The following is a 25869-nucleotide window of genomic DNA, read 5'->3' on the forward strand; positions in this document are numbered from 1 at the left end:
CCTCAGTCTCCTTATCTGTAAAATGGAAGATAATCATAGAATCTACTTCAGAGGGCTGTTATTAAGCAGTTTTGTGTTAATATATTTAAAGCACTTAAAACTCAGCACACATTAGCCTTTTTATAGATAATAGCCGTTACTATTCTCACTGTCATGGTGTTTATGGCCTGGATATATATTCTAGCAGAGCCTCTCAAACATTAATGACTTGAATCACCTGGGATCTTCTTAAAATGCAGATCCTATTCATTAGGACTGGGGTGGGGCCTGAGAGTCTCTGTTTCTAACAAGCTCCCAGGTGAGGCTGTTGCTGCTGGTTCAGGGACAACACTGTGAATAACAAGGTATAGTTGTTTTTTGTGCATGTGTCTTATCTCTGTTCCTTAACCGAAAACAACCTCCATTTTTAAGTTACCTAAAGGCAAGAAATCAGCTTTTGTAGTGACTTTTGTCTCCCTGGTAGAGCTTAGCCTGTCATAGGTGCTTATAAATATTCCTCAGACTTTGGGGGCTGGAGTGAGCCTTGCAGGGCCTCGACTCCCCTTCCCTCATGTGAGGCTGGATCCCTCTGCAGTTTGCTGAAATGAGTGGGTCCCCAAGGTCAGACGTGGCCAGCCTGCAGAACTCTCAGGCTTTGGAGCAGCAGCTGCCAAGTGATAGCTTCGAGCATCCCAATTTAATGATCATCCTTAGCCTAACAAGGCAGCCAGCTCCTCTAACATGGCTCAGGAATGGCAAATGAGTGACAAGCTGTGCCAGGAAAAGGTGAGGCAGGATTAGATAGGTGTCCTCCCTGGGGACAGCATCAGGGCAAATCCCAAACTTCACCCACTTCAGGGCTGTTAAACACCTCTGGCCTCCAGGGCTTGTCAAACAGCTTCTACTCGGTTGCCAAGGAGTTCTCAGCCGAGGGGTAGAAATTGTTTCTGACCACAGGTGACAAGCTACGAGGTTCAAGTTTAAGAAACAGCTCTCTCTCACAACGTGCATGTTTAGTCTGATCAGATGGATAGGCTGCACTTGTTAATTTCAATGTCCAGGTCTTTTTGGAATCCAACTAAACTGGCTGCCACATCAATCTAGTTTGGTCTAATACCAGCTTCTCTTTATTTCATGGGAAAACGGAAAAAAAATCTGACTTCTATGACACAAAGACTAAGGAACCAGAGCTGCACTGTCCAGCATGGTCACCACTAACCGTGTGTGGCTATTTACGTTTAAATTGATTCAAATTAAATAAACTCCTCTATACCATGCGCCTCATTTCAGATGCTTGACAGCTGCATGTGGCTCAGTGGCTCCTGTATTGTACAGCATAGGACATTCCCATCATCACAGAAACTTCTATGGGACATCCCTGAATTAGAGACTCAATGCAGGTAGTATCCCCCTTCCAGAAAAACAGACTGAAAATCCCACTCTCAAAGCAACAGAGAAGGATTCATTGTAGAGACCAGGGACCAACTCACCTACTGAAACATATGCCACATGACTGTGTTTTGATCCTCTTAGAGCTGAGTTTCTTAAAGCAGCCATCATCATCATCACCATCTCATTTTGCCAGGTGTTTATGATGTGTCAGGCTGTCTTCTAAGTGCCTTAGCTCATTGAATTCTCACAAGAATCTTATGAGTCTGTCAGCATCAATTTTTTTTTTTTTTTTTGAGGCAGAGTTTCGCTCTTGTTGCCAGGCTGGAGTGCAATGGTGCGATCTCGGCTCACCGCAACCTCCGCCTCCCAGGTTCAAGCAATTCTCCTACCTCAGTCTCCCAAGTAGCTGGGATTACAGGCATGCACCACCACACCTAGCTAATTTTTTGTATTTTTAGTAGAGACAGGGTTTTTCCATGTTGGTCAGGCTGGTCTCCAACTCCCAACCTCAGGTGATCCACCCACCTCAGCCTCCCAGAGTGCTGGGATTACAGGCATGAGCCACCACACTATTGCCCTATCTGTCTTGCTGATGAGGATCTTCAGGCTCAGAGAGGTTATGTAGCTTACCCAGGTCATATAGCTATCACCAGGCAGAACTGGGATGCAAAGGCAGGAGGCTTGAGTGCAGAGTTCACCCTCTCAACTGCATCCCATGCTGGGATGAGATGAGAAGGATGCAGGGTATAGAGAGAGGGCAGAAGAGTCTGTGTGAAGGTGAAATGTCTGAAAATCTAAGGCCAAAAACATTCTTGCCTTAATGTACATCGCCCTTCATCTTCCCTTTTTCCTTTTAGTTTTGTCCCTGGCTTAGGAGCAACAAATATTGCTAATAAAAGTGGAATAGTGGGCCGGGCATGGTGGTTCACGCCTGTAATCTCAGCAATTTGGGAGGCTAAGGTGGGTGGATCACCTGAGGTCAGGAGTTCGAGACCAGTCTGACCAAGATGGCAAAACCCCCATCTCTACTAAAAATACAAAAATTAGCTGGGCATGGTGGCATGTGACTGTAATCCAAGCTACTCGGGAGGCTGAGGCAGGAGAATTGCTTGAACCTGGGAGGTGGAGGTTGAAGTGAGCTGAGATCGCGCCATTGCACTTCAGTCTGTGCGACAGAGTGAGACTCTGTCTCAAAAAAAAAAGTGGTATAATGATAATCAAATCACTCCATCCGATTGGACAGCCTTTGAGAAACATGTTAATCTCCTGACACAAATTGCTATATACAGTGATACGTTGCTTAACAATGAGGATACATTCTGAGAAATGCATCATTAGGTGATTTTGTCATTGTGGGAACATTGTAGAGTGTACTTACGTAAACCCAGCTAGTATAGCCTCGCCTCCACACCTAAGCTACATGGTAGAGCCTGTGGCTCCCAGGCTACAAACCTGTCTAGCATGTTACTCTACCGAATACTGTAGGAAATTAACATAGTGGCATTTGTGTGTCTAAACAGATCTAAACCTAGAAAAGCTGCAATAAAAATGCAGTATTATAATCTTATGGGACCACCATCATATATGAGGTCTGTTACTGACCAAAATGTCATTATCATACAGTACATGACTGTATATAAATAAACGCAGAACCTGCTTCTTAAATCTTTACTTCAATATTACTTGAGCTTTTCATTTTTCATTTTATTTTAATTTTTTTCATGGTTGATTCTATTTATTATTAAGCTTTTATCAGCCAGTCGTTCATTTAGTCAATCCATAAGCATGCATTAAGTGCCAGCTATAAGCACAATAATAGTGAGAGATAATATTCATCAAATTATTTGTGTGCCAGGCACCATTCTAAGTACTTTACATGAATTAACTCATTTATCCCCCATGATAACTCCATGAGGTATGTATTATTATTGTCATCCCCGTTTTACAGATAGACAAAGTGAGGCTGAGGATAGCTAATTTGCCCAAGATCACAGGGACTGGAAGTGGTAGCACAGGGATTCAGGCCCAGCAGGCTGGCTCCAGAACTTGCTTCCTTTGCCACCATACTTTTGCTGCTGTGTGTCCAGCCCTTTGCCAGGGAGGGGGGACTCCGGGAGGCCTCACATGACTCCCGTTCAGCACAGCCAGAATGGAGAAAGAGTGCAGTGTCAGAAGGGAACTGCTGGGAATGGGACAGATCAGGGAAGGTGGTATTTGAATCGGACTTTGAAAGATGAATAGGACTTTGAAAGATGAATAAAACCAGCCATTTGAGGATTGGAAATTGGGAAGGTGTTCTAGGTGAGAGGAGCAGCTGTCAAAGGTTCCAGGTAGGAAATCCAGAGATAGTGGGGGACGCATAGACCAACTGAGACAGACTGGCTTGGGGGCTGGACTGCCCATCAGCTCGTTTGCAGAGGTGCAGCTGTTTAACCAGTTATTAAAATGCTGAAATGCTTCTCTCTATGGGTTAGTAAAAAGCCACTGCCTCAAGTGCTCCCAAAGCCACGATGTCCCTGCCATCCAGCAACAACAGCTTGGCATCTGGCCCTGCAGGTGCTCCAGGATGCCCTGTCTGCGCTGAGGCTGTAGGAGTTGATCGGTGCCTGAGCCTTAACAGTAGTTAAATATTTAGAATATCATCCTGAGTTGAGAGTGTCGGGGAGAAGATTTTTGTCTGCAGGTGTCATGGGGGCCTTTGATCCTTTGACAGCAGGGTTAGGGTTGAAGGTTTGGATTGGGGAGAAGCATAAGCAAAATCCAAATGCCTCTGCTCATCCTTCAGGACTCAGCTGCATCCCCACCTCTCCCGTGAAAGATTTGCTGACCTGCGCCCCTGGCAGGAGAAGGCCTCCTCTGTTCACAACCCCTTCAGTGAATAATTTTAATAGTCCTTGAGTGCCAGCTCATGCCAGGCCCTGTGACGAGAGCTTTTCCAGAGAATTCCACTTAAACTTCACAGTCATTCTCTCAGCTACTGTTATTTTGCCTATTTAACAGATGAGAAGAGTGAGGAGATGTTCTGGGGCTTGCCCAAGGTCACACAGCTAAGTTAGGATGTGGCAGGGCTGGACGTTGAGCCCCAGCACTGTGATCCCAGAGCCTGCGTCCTCTTGCCCACCCCCCGTGGGGCCCCATGACTGCTCTGGCATTATTTGCTTCCATGTCTGTCTCCACTGCCAAACTTTGAGCTCTGCACAAGCAGGGACTGGGCTTTGATCATTTCTCTCACTTTCTGACAGCCAGACAAGGCCTGGCACAGAGTGGGTGGGGAAGAGAAGGATCAGTTAGGACCTAGCCCCAGGGGACTGGAGCAGAGAGAGATGTAGGGACCAGCTGGATGCTTCCTGCAAGAGTCCCAAAGAGAGATGACAAGCCCATGGCTGAGTGAGTGTCATCCTCAGTGTCTCCCAGAGAGAGATCACCAGTTGGCCTCCTCCTTTCTCCCGAATGGTCCCAAGGGAAGCCACATTGGCCTCCCCAGGTTGTTGGCTTGCTCTCATTTGCCTGGAACTGACAGCCCCGTGTGTGCTGTGTGTCTGGGGCCAACACTCAGGGGGAAAAAACAACATTAGCGAATATTAGCCCTTGAAGCTGCCCAGTGCAAACTGAGGCTGGCCCAGCATGGCAGGAACCAATGGAAGCCTGGTGCCCAAATGCCTGGGAGCAGAGGGGCCTGCAGAGAGAAAGCACTGTCTGAGCTCATCCCACTTTTGAACCATCTGCCCCTGCACCAAGTTTCCACTCTTTTTTTATCCTTTCAGAAATAGTGATATTGACAGCTGCCAGCACGCAGCTGGTTTTCACATGTTATGGGAAGTAGCCCCGGCAGTAAATTTGGTCATTTGCCCAGTAGACATGGTATCTGAGTTGAATGTGTATTCTTCAAAGTCTGACTTCACAAACAAACCCTCTACAGGTATACAGTTCCCTGGATTTTTATTGATTTAATTACATTTTCCCCATCCCTCCATTTTGCTCTCCTCACAGACTACATCTTTTTATACCTACAATAAAAGGTGCTATGAATTCAATTTTTTTTTTTACTGAAAAGTTATATATGCTTGTTTTTTAAATTTTGGAAACTACAGGAAAATATAAGGAAGAAAATTAAAATTATTTATAATTCTGCTACCCTGAGGTAGCCAAAATCATTATTTAGTTTATTGTCTTATCTTTTTTTAATATAAATAGGGAAGGTTTTGAACATAGTTACACTGTGTATATATAATTTTGTGTCTTATTTTTATTTCACTTAATAGCATACCATAAGCATATTCCTGGTAGTACTATAGAACATTCATAAACATTCTTAATGACTGCAGAATATTCCATCATGTGACTGTACCGTAATTTGCCTAATGGCTCCAGGGTTCGTGGCCATTTGAGTTGTTTCCAGTGTGCGAATTACTGTTCTTTTAAAACTACCCACAGTGGTGTGACTAAAACATCAATGGAGAGGAAATGGTTATGAAGAGAGTAGTCAGCTTGTAGTAGAGCAACTGAGGGGTTAATTCACAGGCCCTCTGTTGGCCTGTAGGAGGAAGAAACTACAAAAGGAGAACCCTGGGAGGGAGCCTCACCCACCCCAATCCCAGCTGTTGCTTTTTTTCCAGGAAGCAAGGCCTTATGGGAAGTGTAGGGAACAATGGCATCTGCCTGGCCTGCAAGCTTTCTAGAGCAACAGTAATGATCAGAATCTCTTGGAGTGAGCACTTCCATACTCAGGATCTCCCTCTATTCTCACAGCAAAACCGGAAACTGGGAAGATCGCTTTTCACATCTCCAGAGACTGACTCTAAAAAAGTCATGAGATTTGCCCCAAGTTATGCAGTGAGTGGCCAAACTGAAACCAGAGGGCTGCTCTAGGGATTGCCGGTAATCTCCTCCCTCTCTTTCTGGATTGCTTCTAGAATGGAAAGTAGCATGGCAGCCTCATCAGAAAGCAAGTTTTGAGCTTGTTCTGTGGACAAAGTTCATTGCACGTGCACTTGGCCAAGTCTACAGATGAGGAAAACACCACAATTCCAGGAGGTTTTTGTTTGTTTGGTGGCTGTGTTTGTTTGTGTCTAATTCTGGATTTTAAAATGTGGCTCTATCTTATGTTTTCTGTGTGTATAAGAAGCATCACCTGTGATGGCTTTCTCAGTTCTTTCAAACTAGAGTGAGGAATTCGGTCAAGAGTTAGCCAGTCAGGTTCAGACCTGCTCAGGAATTTAGGCCAAGTGTGCTGGCGGAAGAAGGTGGATGTGTCCCCAGGCTTCCATTCTCTTCTCACTGGTAAATTCAAACTTCCCACCTGGAGCAAGCTCTTTTTGCAGTCCTTTGTCCCGTTGCTCTGTATTAGTCCCTTACATAGAATCCCGCCCTCTCCTTGCACAGCCACACCCCAGACCCTGGGGCAGCAAGGTGGGGAAAGCATATTTTTGTGATTCAGAAAGGAAACTAGTAAAAGGAAACTAAAGACCAACTTGTTGAAAACACTGAGCATCCACTGCCTCTAAAATCCTTTCTGGAAGTACTGTCCCTCTTCAGACTCCAGAGCACTTTACAGCAACATCCCACAAGGCACTTTTCATGGTCTGCCTTGCATGAGAGTTATCTGCTTTTCTTTCCTTGATAGCCACTTAATGCCCCAGTCCACCAGTAAAAAGTCCGATCTAACAGATACACAAGTATAATTGAGGAGTATAATTATAATTTAAAAAGTCAAACAGACTTTATGCAATTGGGACTGCCCTGGAAAGTCAGGGGTGTACAGTCACAGTAAACCTCCTTGCTAGATTGAACACCAGAGACCAGGTTTTAAATCCTTGTGTCCTCCATAAAACTCAACACAGACCCTTGCTCCAAGGAGGGAGTTAATAAATCGGGAACCAGTTAAGTGCTCAGTCTGCTCCATAAACCGCTCTCCCCGTTCATGTATTTATTAATTTATCGGGTTCCTCTTACTCCCCCCTCTTACTCCTTAAGCTACTCCAATTCACACAGAATCCCCTGAAACTGCCCTACATTTTTTCACCTGATTCCTTCTGCCTGGATTCTTTTCCTAAACGCTTCTGCCTCCCTGGTCCAGACTCAGGGCAGCATTTCCCAGCACACTCACTCCCTTCAACTGTGGCTGATTTAGATGCTCCTACTTCCTTCTCCCATTAGACTTTGTGCATTCCTTTATCATAAAGCTTTTCGGAAGGTGGCATAATAGCTTCTTTTCTCATGCTTTTCACATTAGACCTTGAGTTCACTGGGTACTGGGACCTCTGCAGTATCACCAGGTATAGAACCAGGTACACAGAAGGTACTTACTTATTCTTTCATCCATTCAACATATATTTATAGAGCATTTACCATACAACAGGCAAAATATCTGCCTTTGTGGAGCTTACATTCTACCAAAGGAGACAAAAAAGGAACAAATGCATAAATAATACAAATATCAGGCACAGAGAAGTAGCATACAGAGAAATCAAACTGGGTACTCAAACCAAGAACAACTTCTGAAAAGTGCTATTTTAGGTAGAGTGGTCAGAGAAGTTTTCTCTAAGGAGACAGCATTGGAGCAGAGATCTAAAGAAAGTGAAGCAGCAAGCCATATGGATATCTGAGGAAAGATATTGCCAGGCAGAGAGAACAGTAAGTGCAAAGGCTCTGGGGCAGAAACATTCTTGGCACATGCCAGGACCAGCAAGGAGGCTGGAATAGAGTAAGTGAGTGGGGAGTGTGATCAGAGATGAGTCCAAGGTGGGCAGGGTCAGATCCTACAGGTCCCCTTAGGCCTGCAAAGGGACCTGATTTCTATTCCATATGTGACAAGAAGCTCAGTACATTTTTGTCAGATTGAATTATTTGAGATGAGTTGAACTAAAACAAATTGGGCATTGTCTTAGTATAGGCTCTAAACCATTGTTTGAATCCCGCAGTATCCTAAGTCTGCTCTCCTTGCCTACAAACACAAAAGCACTAGGAACAGTACCATTTAGCAGTTTGGAAACCTATTTGTGTGTGAGTTTGCCTGTTCTGGAATTAGCACAGCCTTGTGATTGTTCCCAAAGCCTTTTGGCCAGTGACACTTTTGCCAGCCTTTCCTATATGGACCAGTTTCATTGTGCTGGCAGATCTGGACCAGGGAACATCTGAATGCAAGAGGAATATGGTCCTAACGCCAGTCTGACATTTCTGTTTCATTTCTGTCTTTCCCAGACTCTGAAGTCTTTGAGGGTCACTGGGATTTATTCTGGGCCCTTAGCAGGGTCCTGGGCCCGACTCTTAACATAGTTTTTATCCAAGCCTGGTTCTCATTAAATCTTAATTATGTGAAATTCCTACACTTAATGCAACTGAAAATAAGGCACACTTTGCTATTTTTATCATTTTCCTTAGTCTTTATAAACCATTCCAGCGAACCATTCCCTGGAGTAAAGTGGGAAAACCACCAGAATTTAAGCTAAGCAAATTCACAGAACTCAATTGTACATTCATTAATTCATTTAACAATCATTCATTCACTCAAAGAAAGGTGATTGAGAACCTACAAAGTACCAGCACTGTTCGAAGTTCTGGGGAGATAGCAGAACACATGGTAAGCTTCTGCTCTTATGAAGCTGACAGTCTAGCAGAGGAGACAGAACAAACCAGGAAACTCATAAAATGTCATCTTGAGCAGTGATAAGTGCTACTATGTGCAAGTCTAGAGGATACAAAGATGAACAATTCATGCCCCTACAATTCATGTGGTTGCGGTGGCGGTGAAGACATAAGTTATAACAAAGGTATGATATATGGTATTGGGCATTGTGCACAGAGTCCTATGGAGGAAGAGGGAAAAAAAAAACTATTGTGGTTATGGAGGGCTCTTGGAGAACTCTTGAAGAGGTGACATTGGATCAGTATCTTGAAAAATAGGTAGGATTGTACTGGATGGAAAGGGTAGAAAGAGAAAGGAAACAAGAGCAGAGGCCAAGACAGGGAGAGATGAACAAACACAGTGTATTCCCAAAATGCCTGGTCATTTGCTGTGACCACAGCACGTTGGTGCTAGATAGGCATGGAATGGGAGCATGACAGATGCGAATGTAGGTTGAGGCTAATTAATAAATGGCCAGGCTGAAAAATCTGTGCTATAATTGGACGACCAGATTTCCATGTTAGTGCATTTATCCTGGCAGCAATGTGAAAGGATTGAAGAGAGAAACTGGAATCAGGAAATTATCATGAAAATAATGCAATGGTCTGATCTTAAAATGAGTCTCTCTCTCTCTCTATCTATCTCTCTGTGTGTGTGTGTGTGTGTGTGTGTGTGTGTGTGTGTGTGTGTGTGTTTGGCTAATCAGTTAAATTGAGAGTGTTAGACTCTTAGGGTTGGGAGGGGCTCTGAAAGTCATGTAGTCCTTCCACCCATTGTATGTTTGACTCTCCTTTCCAACATCCTTCCCAAAGGATCACTCAACCAAGACACCAGTCTTTAAGACTTCCCATCCCAGCTTTAGAGAGCCAAGACTCACTCATGTGGAACAGAGATCTGCTCCCTGGAGCTACCACCAGTACTACTTTTTCTCCTTGAGGCTTAAAGACCCAGTCTAATCTCTAATTTGGTGCAGCTTCGCATTATTTAAAAGCAGCTGAAATTTCCTGAGCATCTCTGTGAGCTAGGCATGCCTGCAGGGCACGTATCACCCCATTTCCAGATTGGAACCTTGGGTTCATTGGCCATGTGACTTGCTGAAATTTGGTCATTGACCCAATTATTTGGCAGCACTAGGATCAAAACCCAAAGCTCTCTAGCTCCAGAGCCTGCACTCTTGGAAACAACTATCAATTTAACCCAACAAACATTTATTTAGCACTGACTGATGCGAAATCTCCTGTCCTGGGTATTAAAGAACGGGATGGAACCAGTAAGGAGCAAGCATGGTTACTGTATTCCAGGGATTCCCACTCTAGAGATTTAGACAGTGGAGTCCACACTCAAGCATTATAATAATGTCTATTTGGCTTTGCTTGCAGTCTGGGCTATTCCAGAAGAGGAAAGTAATTTCTGTTTAGCCCATTGCACAGGCCTTGTTTCCTACTTGTTACACTGGGGCAAGCCCCATGCAGGAGCCATCTCCACAGAGTCCATACCCAGGAAAAATGATCTGTATGCTGGAAGGATACAGGAGGGGGATGTACCTGGAAAGGTGCAAGGCATGTGACTGGTGTATATAACTAGATTTGAGCAAAGCAAAACTTCAACTTGGACACATCCCAGAGATGAGCAAAGAGGAAGATATAGCAAGACCGAGAGAGGCTGGGAAGCTGGAAACAGGAGAACAGGTGCAAAGAACTGATGGGAAAGCCTTCAGAACCAAGCCTGTGCACTGAGCACGTATGCAGGAGCTCCCCTGTTAGGCACTTTGTGGTATTGCTGTGCTACAGCTGTGGCTGCAGGACTTGAAGGAAATGGGCCCAACCCTGACATTGTTGGCATCTTTGTTCGCTGATTTTTTTTTTCTGAATCTAATGTTGTGTTTGTCTTCATCTAATGTTTAAATTTGTGACAATTCTGACTATATGTGCTGTATGCCAGACGTAGATGAAGATTCCTGAATGTAAATCTTCCATATAATTGTACTTCCACCCCTGCTATTTCATTTCCCCTCTGTTATTCTCACTCTTTAGGGGAGAGAAGCACCAAAGGGTTAGGAGACATCTGTGCCTTCTCCATGCACCTTGCACCAGTTCCCATTCAGAGCCAGCTGCCATACCCCAGCCAAATCCAAACACTCCCCCACTTTCCAGCCTGCACCCCTCCATCTCCTGACCTCACAAGGCCTCCATCTCTTGGTGAGATCTGCTTTGGTTCTTCCTTGGTCGTGAGCTTTACACTCACCCCCTCGTTGGTAGTTGCTCTGCCACCCTACAGCCGGCCCCAGAAATCAACCCCTTTCCTTGGAGGGAGGGACTTCAGGATTCTCCTGAGAAGGAATTAGACAAGTAGGCAGGCAGGGGCACACGTGGTCCCCTTTCCATCTCACCAGATACTCAGCCCTGAATATTTTGCCAGTGTCCACGGAGTGAGAGGCCCTGAAGTCCTGACCTGTTCAAAGAGTCCTTCCCTATATAGTACCAATGTCCAGCTTAGTAAGTAGCCCTTTTGATTTTCCTTTTATTAAAATCACAAGCTTCCTTCCTGGTTTCTGTCATCCCTCACCTCCAGATTCAGCAAAATGTAAAATCGGTAACATCTAGACTGCGAAGTAAATTGCGTGTATGTTTCCTTCTTGCGCACATAGAGGTCCCATAAATCTGCTAAATAGCCAAATGGTGGTTTTGTGCAGGCACCAGAAATTGCCTCTTTTCCTGCTCTTATCTTTTCCTTGATTTTTAATTCTTCTAGAGATTTCTCTTTTCTTTCCTTCCTTTCTCTGTGTTCCTTTTTTATTTTTCTTTTTACCAGAAAATTCTATCCCATTCCCATCCCCTACTTCCTCAAAGGAACCTTCTCTTTCTACGTGGTGTCATTATGTTTTCTTATTCTTATTATCCCAGTTATTCTTGGAGCTTTGGTGCAACCTGAGACAAATGATGTTTATTTATTCATCATTTATAACCAATTTAACTCTGAAAGGGACTTGAGCCAGACTCACAGTATGAGTTAGTTATAACAGAATTACTAAACAAAGATAGCAATGTAAAAAACATGTCATTAAGAGTAAGGAAGACTGCTGTAGCAGAAAATCTCTCCGAAGGTTTGTTACTGCAATTTAACACAAAATTTAGCATTGAGTTTCTTAGCCGCCAAGGCAAAACAGGAAACAGGCATGATGTAGCTTTCATCATCTAATTTAAATACACACACACACACACACACACACACACACACACACAAACATCTTTACCAAAACACAGTTCATGAAAGATCTTTTCTGACTGCAGCAAGTTCAATCCAGGTCTGATACTCTTAGGCCTTTTCTGGAGATCAGAATCACCTCAGAAGCTTTAAAAAACAATCTATAGGCCAGGGGCAGTGACTCACATCTGTAATTCCAGCACACCTGTAATTCCAACACTTTGTGGGGCCAAGATAGGAGGATCACTTGAGCCCAGGAGTTCGAGACCAGCCTGGGTAACAGAGGGAGACTGCCCCCATCTCTAGAAAAGATTAAAAAATTAGCTGAGCATGGTGGCAACTGCCTGTGGTCCCAGCTACTCAGGAAGCTGAGGTGGGAGGATCATCTGAGCCCAGGAGTTCAAGGCTGCAGTGAGCCAAGAGATTGCACCACTGCACTTCAGCCTGGGTGACAGACCAAGATCTTGTCTCAATCAATCAATTAAATCCATCATCAAGTCAAGGGAAAGGGAAATCATTGACCTGTGCTCAGAGTAGTCAGGGTCCTTCTGAGTAACATGGTGACAAGTGTAAATGACAGCATTCATTATATAAAAGTGTCGCCCTTGCGGGTATAGGAATCATGACCTTTCTACAAGTGGAGCTTAGAGTTCATATGGCCCAGTCTCCTCACTTCACAGATGAAGAACTGAAGTACAGTCATGTGCCGTGGGACAATGTTTCAGTCAACAATGGACCACATACATAAGGATGGTCCCATGAGATTATGGTACTGTATTTTTACTGTGCCTTTTCCACATTTAAATATGTTTAGTTACACAAATACTTCCCATTGTGTTACAGCTGCCTATAGTATTCAGTACAGTCACATGTTATTCAGGCTTGTAGCCTAGGAGCAATAGCCTATCCCTTATAGGCTAGGTGTGTAGTAGGCTACACCAGGGGTCCCCAATCCCCGGCCCGCAGACCAGTACTGTTCCATGGCCTGTTAGGAACCAGGCCGCACAGCAAGAGGTGAGCAGCAGACAAATGAACATTACTCCGCCTCCTGTCAGATCACAGGCCGCATTCGATTCTCACAGGAGCACAAACCCTATTGTGAACTACGCATGCAAGCGATCTAGGTTGTGCCCCTTATGAGAATCTAATGCCTGATGATCTGAGGTGGAACAGTTTTATCCCAAAACCATTCCCCCCTACCCCCAGTCTGTGGAAAAACTATCTTCCATGAAACCAGTCCCTGGTGCCAAAAAGATTGGGGACGGTTGGGCTATATCATCTTGGTTTGTATAAGTGCACTCTTGATGTACATTCTTGATGTATTGATGTGCTGATGCTCACACAATGATGAAATCACCTAACAGAGGATTTCTCAGAATGTATCCTGGTCTCTAGGTGACATGTGACTATATCTTAGTGTTCAGTGACTCAATGTCACACTGGTCTTTGGAGAAGCAATAAAATAATGACTAAACATATGGACTTTGGATTCTAGCAGACTTGAGATCAAACCCTAGCTCTCCCCAAATAATTGTGATATTCTGTGCGAGTTACTGAATCTTGCCAAGCCTTGTAACAGCTTGCTCATCATTGTAAGATAGGAATATTATACATATTTAAGCATTCTGCACAGGGCCTAGAATATTATAGGCACTCAAGAAATGATGGGAGCTATAAAATCATGGTAAAGGTGATGACGATGTGTGTAGATCATGATAATGGAAAGACAAAGTCAAAAATCCAGGTTGCGTAATATCTACCATAGCCCCCTTCCCACTACCCTACTTGGCTGGAATTCTGGTCTGGAATTGTACTGACCCAAAAGACATCTCTTAGAGCTGCATTGTCTGGGAGGATAGCCACTAACACATGTGGCTATTTAAAGTTAAATTAGTTAAAATTTTAGTTCTTCAATCACACTAATAACATTTCGAATCTTGAGTAGCCACTGAGGTTCGTAGCTACCAAACTGGACAGCACAGATACAGAACATTTTTCATCAGAGCAGAAAGTTTTATTGGACAGAAAGTTCTATTGGAAGCTACCCTCGTGGGCTTTTTCCCCTAGCTTCTTTATATTAATATTTTTGTTATTTCTTTCTCTCAAAATATGGTACTATTATTTTAAGCTAGAAGAGAAGTTTCTGCAGTCTCCTAACGCCACCCGTGAAGACACCGAAGCCCAGGGGGTGGAACAGATAGATACACAAGTCACACAGCTAGTTAATACCAGAGCTGGTCCAAACGTGCTTCTGACTCAATGCACGAATCATTCTGTAGCAACACAGGAGGCCCAGGGAATCAGCTAAGCCTGTGTTTTCCTAAGTAGAGTTCTGATTGATCAGGGCTGAAGCACACATTTAACCCATTCTGTCATACTGCCAAATGCAGGGTGATGTGAGTCCAAGTGGTTTATTACAAGGGAACTAGAATATCATCTTCTCAAAGCCACCACCCAGTGGCAAAGACATTCTCAAATCCACCACCCAATGACAAGGACATTCTCAAAGCCACCACCCAATGGCAAGGACACCAAAGATGGCATGGGGGAAGCTCTGGACTGCTCAGCCTCTCCTTTACATTCCTTTCTGGTTTGGGTTGTGGAAAAAAGAGATTCTGCTTGGTGTTTTAGAATTGATCTGTTAATTTTAAGTTTAAAATGTTCACTTGCAGAGAATTTTTGTAAGGATAAAGACTTTGAGATGTGTTTCTGACTCTTAGAATGTCTATATTGTTATTTTTCTTGGTTGGGTTAACTATGGTAAGTTCAAAGCCATGGTTGATAAATTTTCACAAGGTTGATGAACAAATTCAACCTCCTGTGGCATAAGTCACACCTTTAAGTGAACAAAAACAATTCATTGTAACAAATATTTTCACAACTGTGGTTTCTGAGAACAAATATCGAGTCTCAAGTTTACAACAAGTTCATAGTGTTTAGATGATAACTGTTAAAAGGAAAGGTTTTTGTCCTTTTTTTGTAAGCAGAAAGAAACAGAATCCATGTTGACACAACAGGAGAAACAGAGATATAACTTAAGTGTTATAGGAACTGATACAAGCATCACTTAGATTCAGCCACCAGTGTCAGAAAACGCAAATAGCTGGTGTTTAAACAAGATAGAAGTTTATCATACAGACTTAGCCTGGAAGTAAAAAATCCAGGGCAGGTTTGGCCACTTAAGCAACGGTCAGAAGTCCAGGCACCACTTCTATCTTGTTGCTCTGCGTTTATCAACAAGTGGCTTCCACCGCATGGTCCAATTTGGCTGCTTGGGCACCAGCCATCATGTCCACAGTCTTGCTTACAGAGGGAAGACTAGAGAAGGTTGGGCCTCTTCCCTTTGGGGCCCTTCCTGGAAGTCTCACAAGGAACCGCTGCTTAGACCTCATTGTAAGAACCAGTCTCCTAGGTGCAAAAGAGGCTAAAAAATATAATCTTCATGCTGGATGGTCATGAGCCCAACTAAAGATTCTGAGTTTCATTATTAAGGAAGAAGAGGAGAACACGTATAGAGGGAAAACCAGCAGCCTCTGCCACAGTATAAATATATTCGTTGTTAACTTTCTTTTATTTTTTTTTCCCAAGACAGAGTCTCACTCTGTTGCCCAGGCTGGAGTGCAGTGGTGCAATCTCGGCTTACTGCAACCTCTGCCTCCCGGGTTCAAGCGATTCTCGTGCCTCAGCCTCCCGAGTACCGGGACTGCAGGCACACGCCACCACACCCAGCTAATTTTTTGTATTTTTAGTGGAGATGGTGTTTCTCCATGTTGGCCAGGCTGGTCTCGAACTCCTAACCTCAGGTGACCAACCCACCTCAGCCTCCCAAGGTGCTGGGATTACAGGGATGAGCCACCATGCCCAACCCTTCTTTTTAACTTTCTATACAAAGGGTTATGGCTAACCTATAGTTTTACCTTCTTAGAAGGGTTTTTGTCAGTCCATTCTTTTTTTTTTTCTTGTTTCCAGTGGGATTGGATGTCAATCCATTCTTGATGTTTTTTTCCAAATACATTTCTGATTTTGTATTTTTCAACTGTAGTCCTATCTGAGGAAGAATAAAAATATTAGGAACTTACAGTTTTATTCCAGAAGTTGCAGGCCCTACCTGTCTGCTCCTCCCCCTGCCTCTCTCTCCAGCATTGCCTCCTACCAGTCCCTCTCCTTCCGTTGCTCTGTCTCAGCCCCAGTCACAACAAGCTGAGGTCCAAAGCACCAGGCCCCAGGCTTCCTCTGGGCCTCTGTACACATGCTGTTAGCCTCTGCCTGGAAATGATATAGTGAATGGCTAATAGGCCTGGCTCTGAGCCCAGCTGCCTGCAGTATATCCTGGCACTGCTGTTTATAACTGTGTGTCCTTAGGTAAGTTAGATAACCTCTCTGTACCTCTATTTTATTATCTAATAATAGCACTTACTTCAGGGCTCTTGTCATTATCAAATGAGCTAACATCAGAAAAATGCTCAGAGCTTGCTTCACATATAACAAACCCTCAATAGTAGCTAAGTTTGTTGAGCATTTACTATGTGCTAAGCACCTTACTGACATTCTCTCCCTTAATCTTCACAACAATGCTGAGGTGTGGCCTTACAATTCCCCTGTTTCACATATGAGGAAACTGAGGCACAGAGATGGGGAGTAGTTTGCCCAAGGTCCCACAGCTAGCAAATGATGAAGCCTGGGCACAAACATCTTCAGAGTACATACCCTTACTACCACATCAGCACCAGATGTGAAGGTGTAGTGGGTTTCCTTTGTAAGGCTGTGTGCTGCCTTTTGCTACTTTTTATGATTTTGTTTTTGGAGGCAGAAGCAGGCCCACATGGCCCCTAGGAGCCCACCCTGGCTTTTGCCTCTTGGCCCTGACCAGGCCCGTCCCTGCCCTTTTAGGCTTCTAGAGCCACCTCTCCCAGGATATGAAGCTGTACAGCCTCTGCTGCTTCCTGGATGTTTATTTTTTGTGCCCAAGCCTGCAAGGCGTGTTTCGCGGCAGCCTCACACAGAGTCTGTGGCTTCTCCACTTCTGAGGCTGCGGCTCCCCTCCCAGGGCCATTTATATCCTGGGCCCCATCATCATCCAACCCCATTTGAGATCAGGTTCCTGCCACAGAGGCCTCTGCCTTCCTTAACCAGGCTGGTCTGTGGCATAGGCAGCAGCTAGCGGAGAGAGGCACAGGCTGGCTGGCTGGTCCCCACATGGTACGTGATGGACACTGAGCTTGCTGAGCATCCTGCAGTTCAGAGCTGGCACTCTCTAGACCTGATGGTCTCAGCCTTTGGTCGGCATCAGAAAATACCTACAGAGAATAAGAGATAAGATGCAGATGCCAAGTGCAGCAGGCTAAATCACAAATAGCTCCAAAATGATCAAGTCCTAATGCGCAGAACTTGAAAATGCTACTTTATAAAGAAAAACAGTCTTTACCTATGTGATTCCATTAATGTTGACATGAGATTCTCCTAGATTATCTGAGTGGGCCCTACATCTCATCACAAGTATCCTTATAAGAGAGAAGGATGCTTGACACAAAGAAGGAGAAAGTAATGCAAGACAGAGATAAAGACTGGAGTGACTAGCCACAAGCCAAGGAATGCTAGCTACCACCAAAAGCTGAGAGGGGCAAGGAATGGACTCTCTCCTAGATCTCCATGAGAGAGGGGAGGGCCTGCAAACACCTTGATTTTGGACTTCTGGCCTCCAGAGCTGTGAGAGGCCAGAAGTCCAAAATATGGCCACCAGATTGTTGTTTCAAGCCACCAAGTTTGTGGTCTTTTGCTACAGCAGCCATAGGAAACTAACACACCAAGCAAACGGGCACAGACCCGGGAATATCCATTTTCACCAGCTCCCTAGGTGATCTGGAGACTCCCTGAAGATGGGGAACTAGATGGAGCATCCAGGCTGATGCTCCAGGAGGACCATGAATTCTTACAGTTTTGCTCACATCCTATTTAAACTGTGAGAGCCTGGAGCATGTTGAATGCCTAAATACCGATGGGAAACATACAGAGAGGAGATGGTGGTTGAAGTCATGGGACTGCAGGGAGATAAATGATTGAGCCAAGTCCCCAGGGAAGCAGAAGCAGGGAAGAGAAAAGGAATCCTTCTCTGGGATGGGAAGGGAAATGAAGCCTAGAGGATGTGTAGCTGTTTGCAGGCAGGGTCAAGGTTGTTGTTATTCATGTATTATTTTTGCTCGCTCTGCCTAGACCTGCCTGTCCTCAGTACTGCTTGCAGCCCTCAGCCCTCTAAGTCACCTTTCTTAGGATGTGCAGCTGGAAAGCCAGAGATGCTTCCTTGGTCAGTCACGTGCGTCTGGGCACTATCTGTAGAAATCACCTCCTCACCTGTGCCCTTTGCCATTTGCCCCATTTCAGACAATTTATGTAATCACTCATAAGTGGCACTGACCTTCACGCTGCAAAAGACTTGTACTTTGGTACAAAATGGCTTACTTTTCCCTAAAAGCACTGACTCTATCCATGAGGCCTCTGTTTCATGGTTCCCAAGTGGTGTATTGTGCATAATCAGGGTGTGGGGAAGTCATCCTCCATGGGATCTAGCACCTGAGCTTCCTCCCTACCTCAGCCAATTGTGCATGATGGTGAGGGAGGAAGAATCAGCAGTAGAAAGAGAAGGCTATGTCCCTGCATGCAACTAAATCCCATTGCAGATGTGTGTCAGTCAGGTTTCTCCAGAGGAACAGAACCCATAGGATGTGTGTACATGTTGGCGGAAAGAAGGGGAGATTGGACGGATGGATGGATGGATGTGTGGGTGGATGAATGAATGGATGGGTGGCTGGGTGGATGAATCGATGGATGGATGGATGGATGGATGGATGGATGGATGGATGGATGGATAGATGGAACAGATGGTGAGTGGACAGATAGACAGATAGACAGATTGATCAACACACACATATATTACTGGTTTTGTTTCTCTGGAGAGCCCTGGCTAATATGCTTTATATACACAACACAGATTTAAGGAATTGGCTTACAAGATTGTGGATACTGGCAAGTTCAAAATCTGCAGGATAGGTCAGCAGGCTGGAGACCCAGAGAAGAGTTGAGGTTGCAGCTCAAGTTCAAATGTATTCGACTGGCAGAATTCTCTCTTCTGGGAAAAATCAGTTTTTTTCTCTTGACGCCTCCAACTGTTCGGATGAGGCCCACCCATGTTATGGATGATAATCTGCTTTACTCAAAGCCTACTGATTTAAAGGTTAATCTCATCTAAAAATTCAGAGTAATGTCCAGACTACTGTTTGACTAAATATCTGGATAATGTGACCTAGCCAAGTAGATACATAAAATTAACATCACAAGGTGTCTTTCTCGAGTGTTTATATTCCCAGGATGATACTAAATACTGCTATGAATACAAAATAGTCTGCAGACAATGCTTGGTTCAGAACAAACTCCCCAAGACTGAAGGGCTTCACAGGGTTGTTGGAAGACTAAATGAGAATCCAGGTGGAGACAGAACCCACCTTTATGATAAAAACTGAAGCCTCCAGGCACTAGCTTTTCCCAGCCTCACTTGCAGCTTGGCAAAGGCTCATGAACCAGGCTCGGCCAATCTGATGCACCAGCTCAACTCCTTCTATTCCATTGTCTCCTGGACCTGTGACCCCTTTTCCTCCCCAACTTAAACACAATAACAAAATTCACCTTCCCTGGTTTCTGACTTGAGTCATGATTCTCTGTAGGTCATGGTTACTCAAAATATGTTCCATAGACCAGCAGCTGCATTATCACCTGGGAGCGCATTAGAAATGCAGAATCTCAGCTGGGTGCGGTGGCTCATTCCTCTAATCCCAGCTCTTTGGGAGGCCAAGGCAGGTGGATGACCTGAGGTCAGGAGTTCGAGACCAGCCTGGCCAACATAGTGAAACCCTGTCTCTACTAAAAATACAAAATTAGCTGGGTGTGGTGGCACATGCCTGTGATCTCAGCTACTTGGGAGGCTGAGGCAGGAGAATTGCTTGAACCCAGGAGGCAGAGGTTGCAGTGAACCAAGATCACTGCGCAACAGAGCGGGACTCCATCTATAAAAAAGAAAAAGAAAGGAAGAAAGAGAAAGAAAGAAATGCAGAATCTCAGGCTGTGCCCCAGACTCTCTGAATCAGGATCTGCATTTTAACAAGATCCCAGGTGATTCAAAGGCACAGAAACATTTAAGAAGCACTGACCTAGAACACTACCTTGGCTCCTCCCACTCCAGGCCATCTGCAGAAACCACCCTCGTGGGCAGTTGGACTATGCCTTGCACAGTAGGGCTGTCACTATAGTAACCAGCTGTGGCCACCTCTTACCTCTACCATCTTCCCGGCTTTGGTGCCCACAGATGCAGTGATGTTACAATGAGCATTGCTATAGAAACCAGCACCGAATATGGTCTACTATCAATTTAGCTGCTTTTCCTTCACTCTCTGTGTCTCTGGAATTATGAGCTTCCTAAACCACAAATATCGAAATTCCTTTCCAGTCTAAGAAACACTCAACAAATAACAAAGATGAAAAGTCAGGGCCACACAGTTTACAAAGGGAAGGCTATAGCATCTGCAGAGGTTTGCATCTATTTGTAAAGAAAAGGCAGGAACATCCCTCTATGTCGCTCTGTGTAGCAAGGCCTTTTCCTGCACCTGGCAGGGAGAAGATGAGTGATGCTAAAAACAATGTTGGTGATGATGATAATAACAGCCCCCATTTATTGAGCACTTTCTCGGTACCAGGCGCCACGCTAAGTACATCATCCCGTTCAATTCTTCCAATAACCCTGTTTATTTGTTCCCTGTGACTGCTGTAAAAAATTACCACACACGGACGCTTAAAACAACACAAAATTCTTCTCTTAACAGTTCTGGCAGCCAGAAGTCTAAAATCAGCCTCACTGGGCTAAAGTCAAGGTATAGGCAGGGTTGGTTCTTCCTAGAGGCTCTGGGAAAGAATCTATTTCCTTGTCTTTTCCAGCTTCTAGAGACTGCCTGCATTACCTAGCTCATGGCCCCTTCCTCTCATTACTCCAACCTCTTCTACTGCTTCTTTTCCTTTTTCCTTTGACCTTCTTGCCTTCCTTTGATAAAGACCCTTGTGATTGCATTTAGGGCCCACCTGGAGGCTCCTGAACTTAATCACACGTGCAAGGTCCATTTAGCCAGTTAAGGCAGCTTTCACAGGTTCTAGGGATTAGGATGTGGACATCTTCGGTTAGGGGTGGGAGGCATTCTTCAGCCAACCATACCCTCTGAGGTGGGTGCTATTATTATCCCTATTTTCCCAATGAGAGAACTGAGGCATGACACTTGAAATATCTTGTTCAAGCTCCCACTGCTAGAAGGTAGAGCTGGAATCCAGTTCCAATCAGTCTCTCTCCAAAGCCCGTGCTCCTAACCACAGCACTGTACAATCTTCAAATGGCTTTGACCCCATCCCCTACTGCACTAGGTTGAAGGAAACAAACCAAACACCATCAGCTTTCTAAAGAGTTTGAGCTTCCAGTTGAAGCCCCTCTACTGAAGACTGAAACCTCAAAATAGGATTTCTTGGTTTGGGGTACTGACCTAGAACACTACCTTGGCTCCTCCCACTCCAGGCCAAGTTTTCTTCAAAATGTCAAACCTCAAGTATATTAGTTTGCTGGGGCTGCCATAACAAAATGCCATGGACTAGGTGGCTTAAACAACAGAAATTGATTTTCTCCCCATTCTGGAGGCTGGAAGCCCCAGATCAAGCTGCTGGCAGGGTTGTCTTCCTCCAAGGCCGCTCTTCTTGGCGTGCATGGCCACCCTCTTGCCCCACTGTGCACACACAACCCTGGTGTCTCTCGTGTCCTGATCTCCTCTTCTTCTAAGGACATCAGTCAGACTGGATTAGGGCCACTCTAATGGCCTCATTTTAACTTCATTACCTCTTCAAAGGCTCTCTCTCCAAATACAGGCATATGCTGAGTACTGGGGGTTAGGGCTGCAACATAGGAATTTGGGGGAACACGGTTCAGCCCATAACAACAGGTAGTTTCTCTGAACCCTGGAACAAGGCAGTTTAGCATGTGAGATGAATTCCTGAGCCCATGGATGTCCTCACTCCTAGGTTCCATACCTACTCCGCACTCTTTACCACGTCTCCAACCTCACCCTCAGCAACTCTTGATATCTTTTAATCTACTACCTCTGGATATGCCTGTGGCTCAAGCATCCAACCATGACCTCTTTGTGGGAGGGTCCTATCTTCTGATCTCCCCAAAACTTTCTGTCCCTATCACTAGGACCTTCATGGTCTTCTCTCCATCTTCCCTAGTCTACACACTAGGTACTTCCTAAGGCCCCAGCAACTGGCTTTTCCAATAGAATCGAAGAATATTAGCATTGGGAAGAACTGAACAGGCTAATGGTAGCCACCTCTGACCTACCATCTGCATTTGTAAGTAAAGTTGTATTGGAACCCAGCCAAGCTCCTTCATTTGTGTATCATCTGTGGCTGTTCTCACTGCAATGTCAGAGTTGAGTAGTAGCAACAGAGACTGACCTTATGGCCCACAAAGCCTAACATACTTACTAGTTAGCCTTTTACAGAAAAGGTTTGCTGAGCCCTGAAATAGATCATCTGATGCAAACCCACCCCACTTTACAGGTGAAGACACTGAAGGCCAAAACGTTGATGGGCCAGAGGAGCCCTCCAGTGAGTTACGGGCAGATCCAGGGCTGGGATTCAGTTCTGCAAAATCCCAAACCAGGCCTTTCTCACATCCTGTAACATTCTTTCTAGTACCCAGACTCCCCAGCCAAACTCCTTTTCCATCCTGGGTGGTCAGCCTCATCACCAGCTCTCTCTTCACCATTTCAGAGAAAGGCCATGTCCGTGTATGTTCTCCATCTCCTACTTGAATCTGGGCTTAACAGCCTTCCTGAGCTGACATGCTGGCTTGACTCTGCAGGAAGCCCATCAAGGCTTTCTCTTTCCTTCCAGAGCCTCTAGTCGCACCCTATATACCTCTCCTAACACCACAGTGAAGATGTAGATGGCCACTGTCCTGTTTGAGTGGACCATCTCCCTCCTCTGCTCATCTCAGGCCACGTGGTTGGGGATTAACAAACCTGGCTTGCTGCAGAATTTCCAGGGGAGCTTATTTAAAATGCAGATGCCCAGGCCCTACCCCAAGACTTATGGGAGCCAAACTCTGGATGTAAAATCATGGCTGTTGCCATTTTAACAAGTTCTTCATGTGCTTCTGATGTTCAACAAAGTCTAAGAACCACTTCACTAAACCATGAGCTCCTCAAGCTTCTTTTGGGTTTTAGTCACTTCAAACAACTTCAGAATAAAGGAGACAACCAGTGGAACATTGTTCTCTTAAAAAAAAAAAGTATAAAGAGAATGCAAGATTTTTTCTTCAGCATTCTCCACCCTCTCCTTGACTCAGAGCCCTCGAATTCTTTCCCATCTCCAATTCCTCCAAAGAAAACATACAAATAATGCTATTTTTTCCCCTCTGAGTAGACAAGATAAGAAGATTTTTAAATGAGTTACTGGCAAAGAATTCATGAGCTTATATACTATTAAGGTCAGAGTGACAAGAAGAAGGCAATGTTGAAAGGAGAGAATAGGTACATAGAAAATTCCAGGAGAGGCTGGAATCCTGAGGTTCAAGGTGTCTTATTCTGGAGCTTGCCAGCTGTCTTGGTAAAGGTGTTATTTTTGAAGGCAGCAGAGCCTTTTTCTTTCTTCTTCTTTTTTTTTTTTTTTTTTTTTTTTTTTTTTTGCTATTCTTTGGCATTCACCAGGCATTGGCCGTGTGCCCTGGGCCTCGCTTGGCATCTAACATGAAAGGCAGCAGCCCAAGGGCAGTTCTGTGATGGAGATGCAGCCCCCCAGGGACTCAGGGTTGTGGACTGTGCTCTGGGGCCACTGAGCAAAGGAATGATGAGGGGAGGCGCCTCTGAAACTTAACCCAGAGAGTTCTCTGAGCATTTGGGGCTGGTTTCCAACAATAATGGAGACACTGTGACAAAAATAAGTTCTGCTCACCTGAGACAGTAGAATCCAATTCAATTTCAAGTCAGCGTGTGTTTATTGAGTGCCTGATTCAGTTTAGGTGATGGAGAGAATGGGAGAATGAGGGAGACAGCCTAAGAAGCAGGCTGATTCAGGCAGAAAATCCTTGGGACTCTGCCCCACAGATAGGTCCACAGGTCCAGAAACTCAATTTTATCAGTTTCACCCAGTAAGAAATTGGTAAATCTTAGTCTGTGTCATGAGCAAATATTTATTAAGTGCCTACAGTGTGCCAGGCACCATCCTGGAGCTGCGGCGGGAGCCGTGATCCAAGAAGTCCCCATTCCCTGCCCTGGTGGAGTTTACATTCTAATGGGGCATTTGCAGAGGCAGCGGGTAAGGCCAGAGGAGTCCTCTGGGGTGAGGCCCACAATGCGAGGGATTCAAGTGAGGTAAAGTCAGGAGGAACGTCTAGGGAGAAATGGGATTTAGCCTGTGGTTTGAAGGTTAAGAGGGATGTGGATTTTTAAAGGGCTTGAAGCCTTACAGACAGGAGGCTCAGCTGCATGAACAGGAATCAGCCCATTGCATGCCAGCAAGAGTCCATGACCTGATCAGCTCCCCTGGGGTGACAGGTGCATGCTGGGTAACAGAGTGCATGCTACGAAGTTGGACAAGAGAATGTCAATATCACATGGGGTTTCTCTACACATGCTATATAGTCAAGTAACTTGGGTCTGACTCCCAGCTCTTGCTAGTCTTGTGGTCCAGGGCATGATACCTAACCTGGATCAACATCATTCTCCTGATCAATGAAATGGGCATAATCATAACTAGCACAGAGGTTGGTCCTAGGCATTCAGATGAGACCATGAATCAATGTAAATGGCTGAGCTGCTGAATATTATTAACATTGGATAAATAGATCTGACTATAGGAAAACTGGCACCTGCCACCAAAAACTTTCTGGGAAGCTCATGACATCTGCATTTCTCAAGGGGGCTGGCTGACTTATAACCCCATCTACCTGTCATCCTCTTCTCAATGCCATGGTGGCCATGCTGGACTGAATGGCAGCCCCAGGGCCGGGGGAGGCAAGAGACATGCCAAGAACATATTTGCATGACCTAGCCTCCTTCAGTTTTGCACCCAGGGAACCCCACTGGCTTCATGCTAGTCTGACCCCTGCTGAATGGCAGGAAACCTTTTGCATCTACGTAGTGCATTTCTCAAAGTGTGGTACTTGGCCCACCTAAATCAGAATCCCAGGGGCTGCCTATCAGAATTATCTTCTTGGACTCTAACACAATCACCATCTCTGGATATAGAGCCAGATGATTCCCAGGCCCTCTCATGATGACTTTAGAGCAGAGGTTCTTTGAGAATGTCGTCCGCAGACCAGTAGCATCCGTATCAGGAACTGGTTAGGAATGCATTTCCTGGGTACCTCCCCTGATCTATGGAATCAGAAACTCTGGGAATGAGACCCAGCAGTCCGTATTTTAACAAACCCTCCAGATAATTCTGATGCACATTAAATTCACATGGGGAGGTTTTGAAAACTGCCTGTATCCAGCTGCACCCTATACCAATTAAATCAGAATCCCTGGGACAGGACTCAAGTGTCATTATTTTTTCCAAAATCTTCTCCAGTAATCCTAATGTGAGGA

The 25869-nt window shown here is 44.9% G+C and overlaps 1 protein-coding gene across 7 annotated transcripts in view; it reads left to right on the plus strand.

Moving 5' to 3' along the window:
• ABTB3 (ankyrin repeat and BTB domain containing 3) overlaps window positions 1–25869 on the plus strand; it is a 341209-nt gene that overhangs the window by 236015 nt on the left and 79325 nt on the right. The gene's annotated exons all lie outside the window — the stretch shown is intronic.

This window comes from Homo sapiens, chromosome 12 (genome assembly GCF_000001405.40).
Source record: "Homo sapiens chromosome 12, GRCh38.p14 Primary Assembly".
Taxonomy (NCBI): Eukaryota; Metazoa; Chordata; class Mammalia; order Primates; family Hominidae; genus Homo; species Homo sapiens.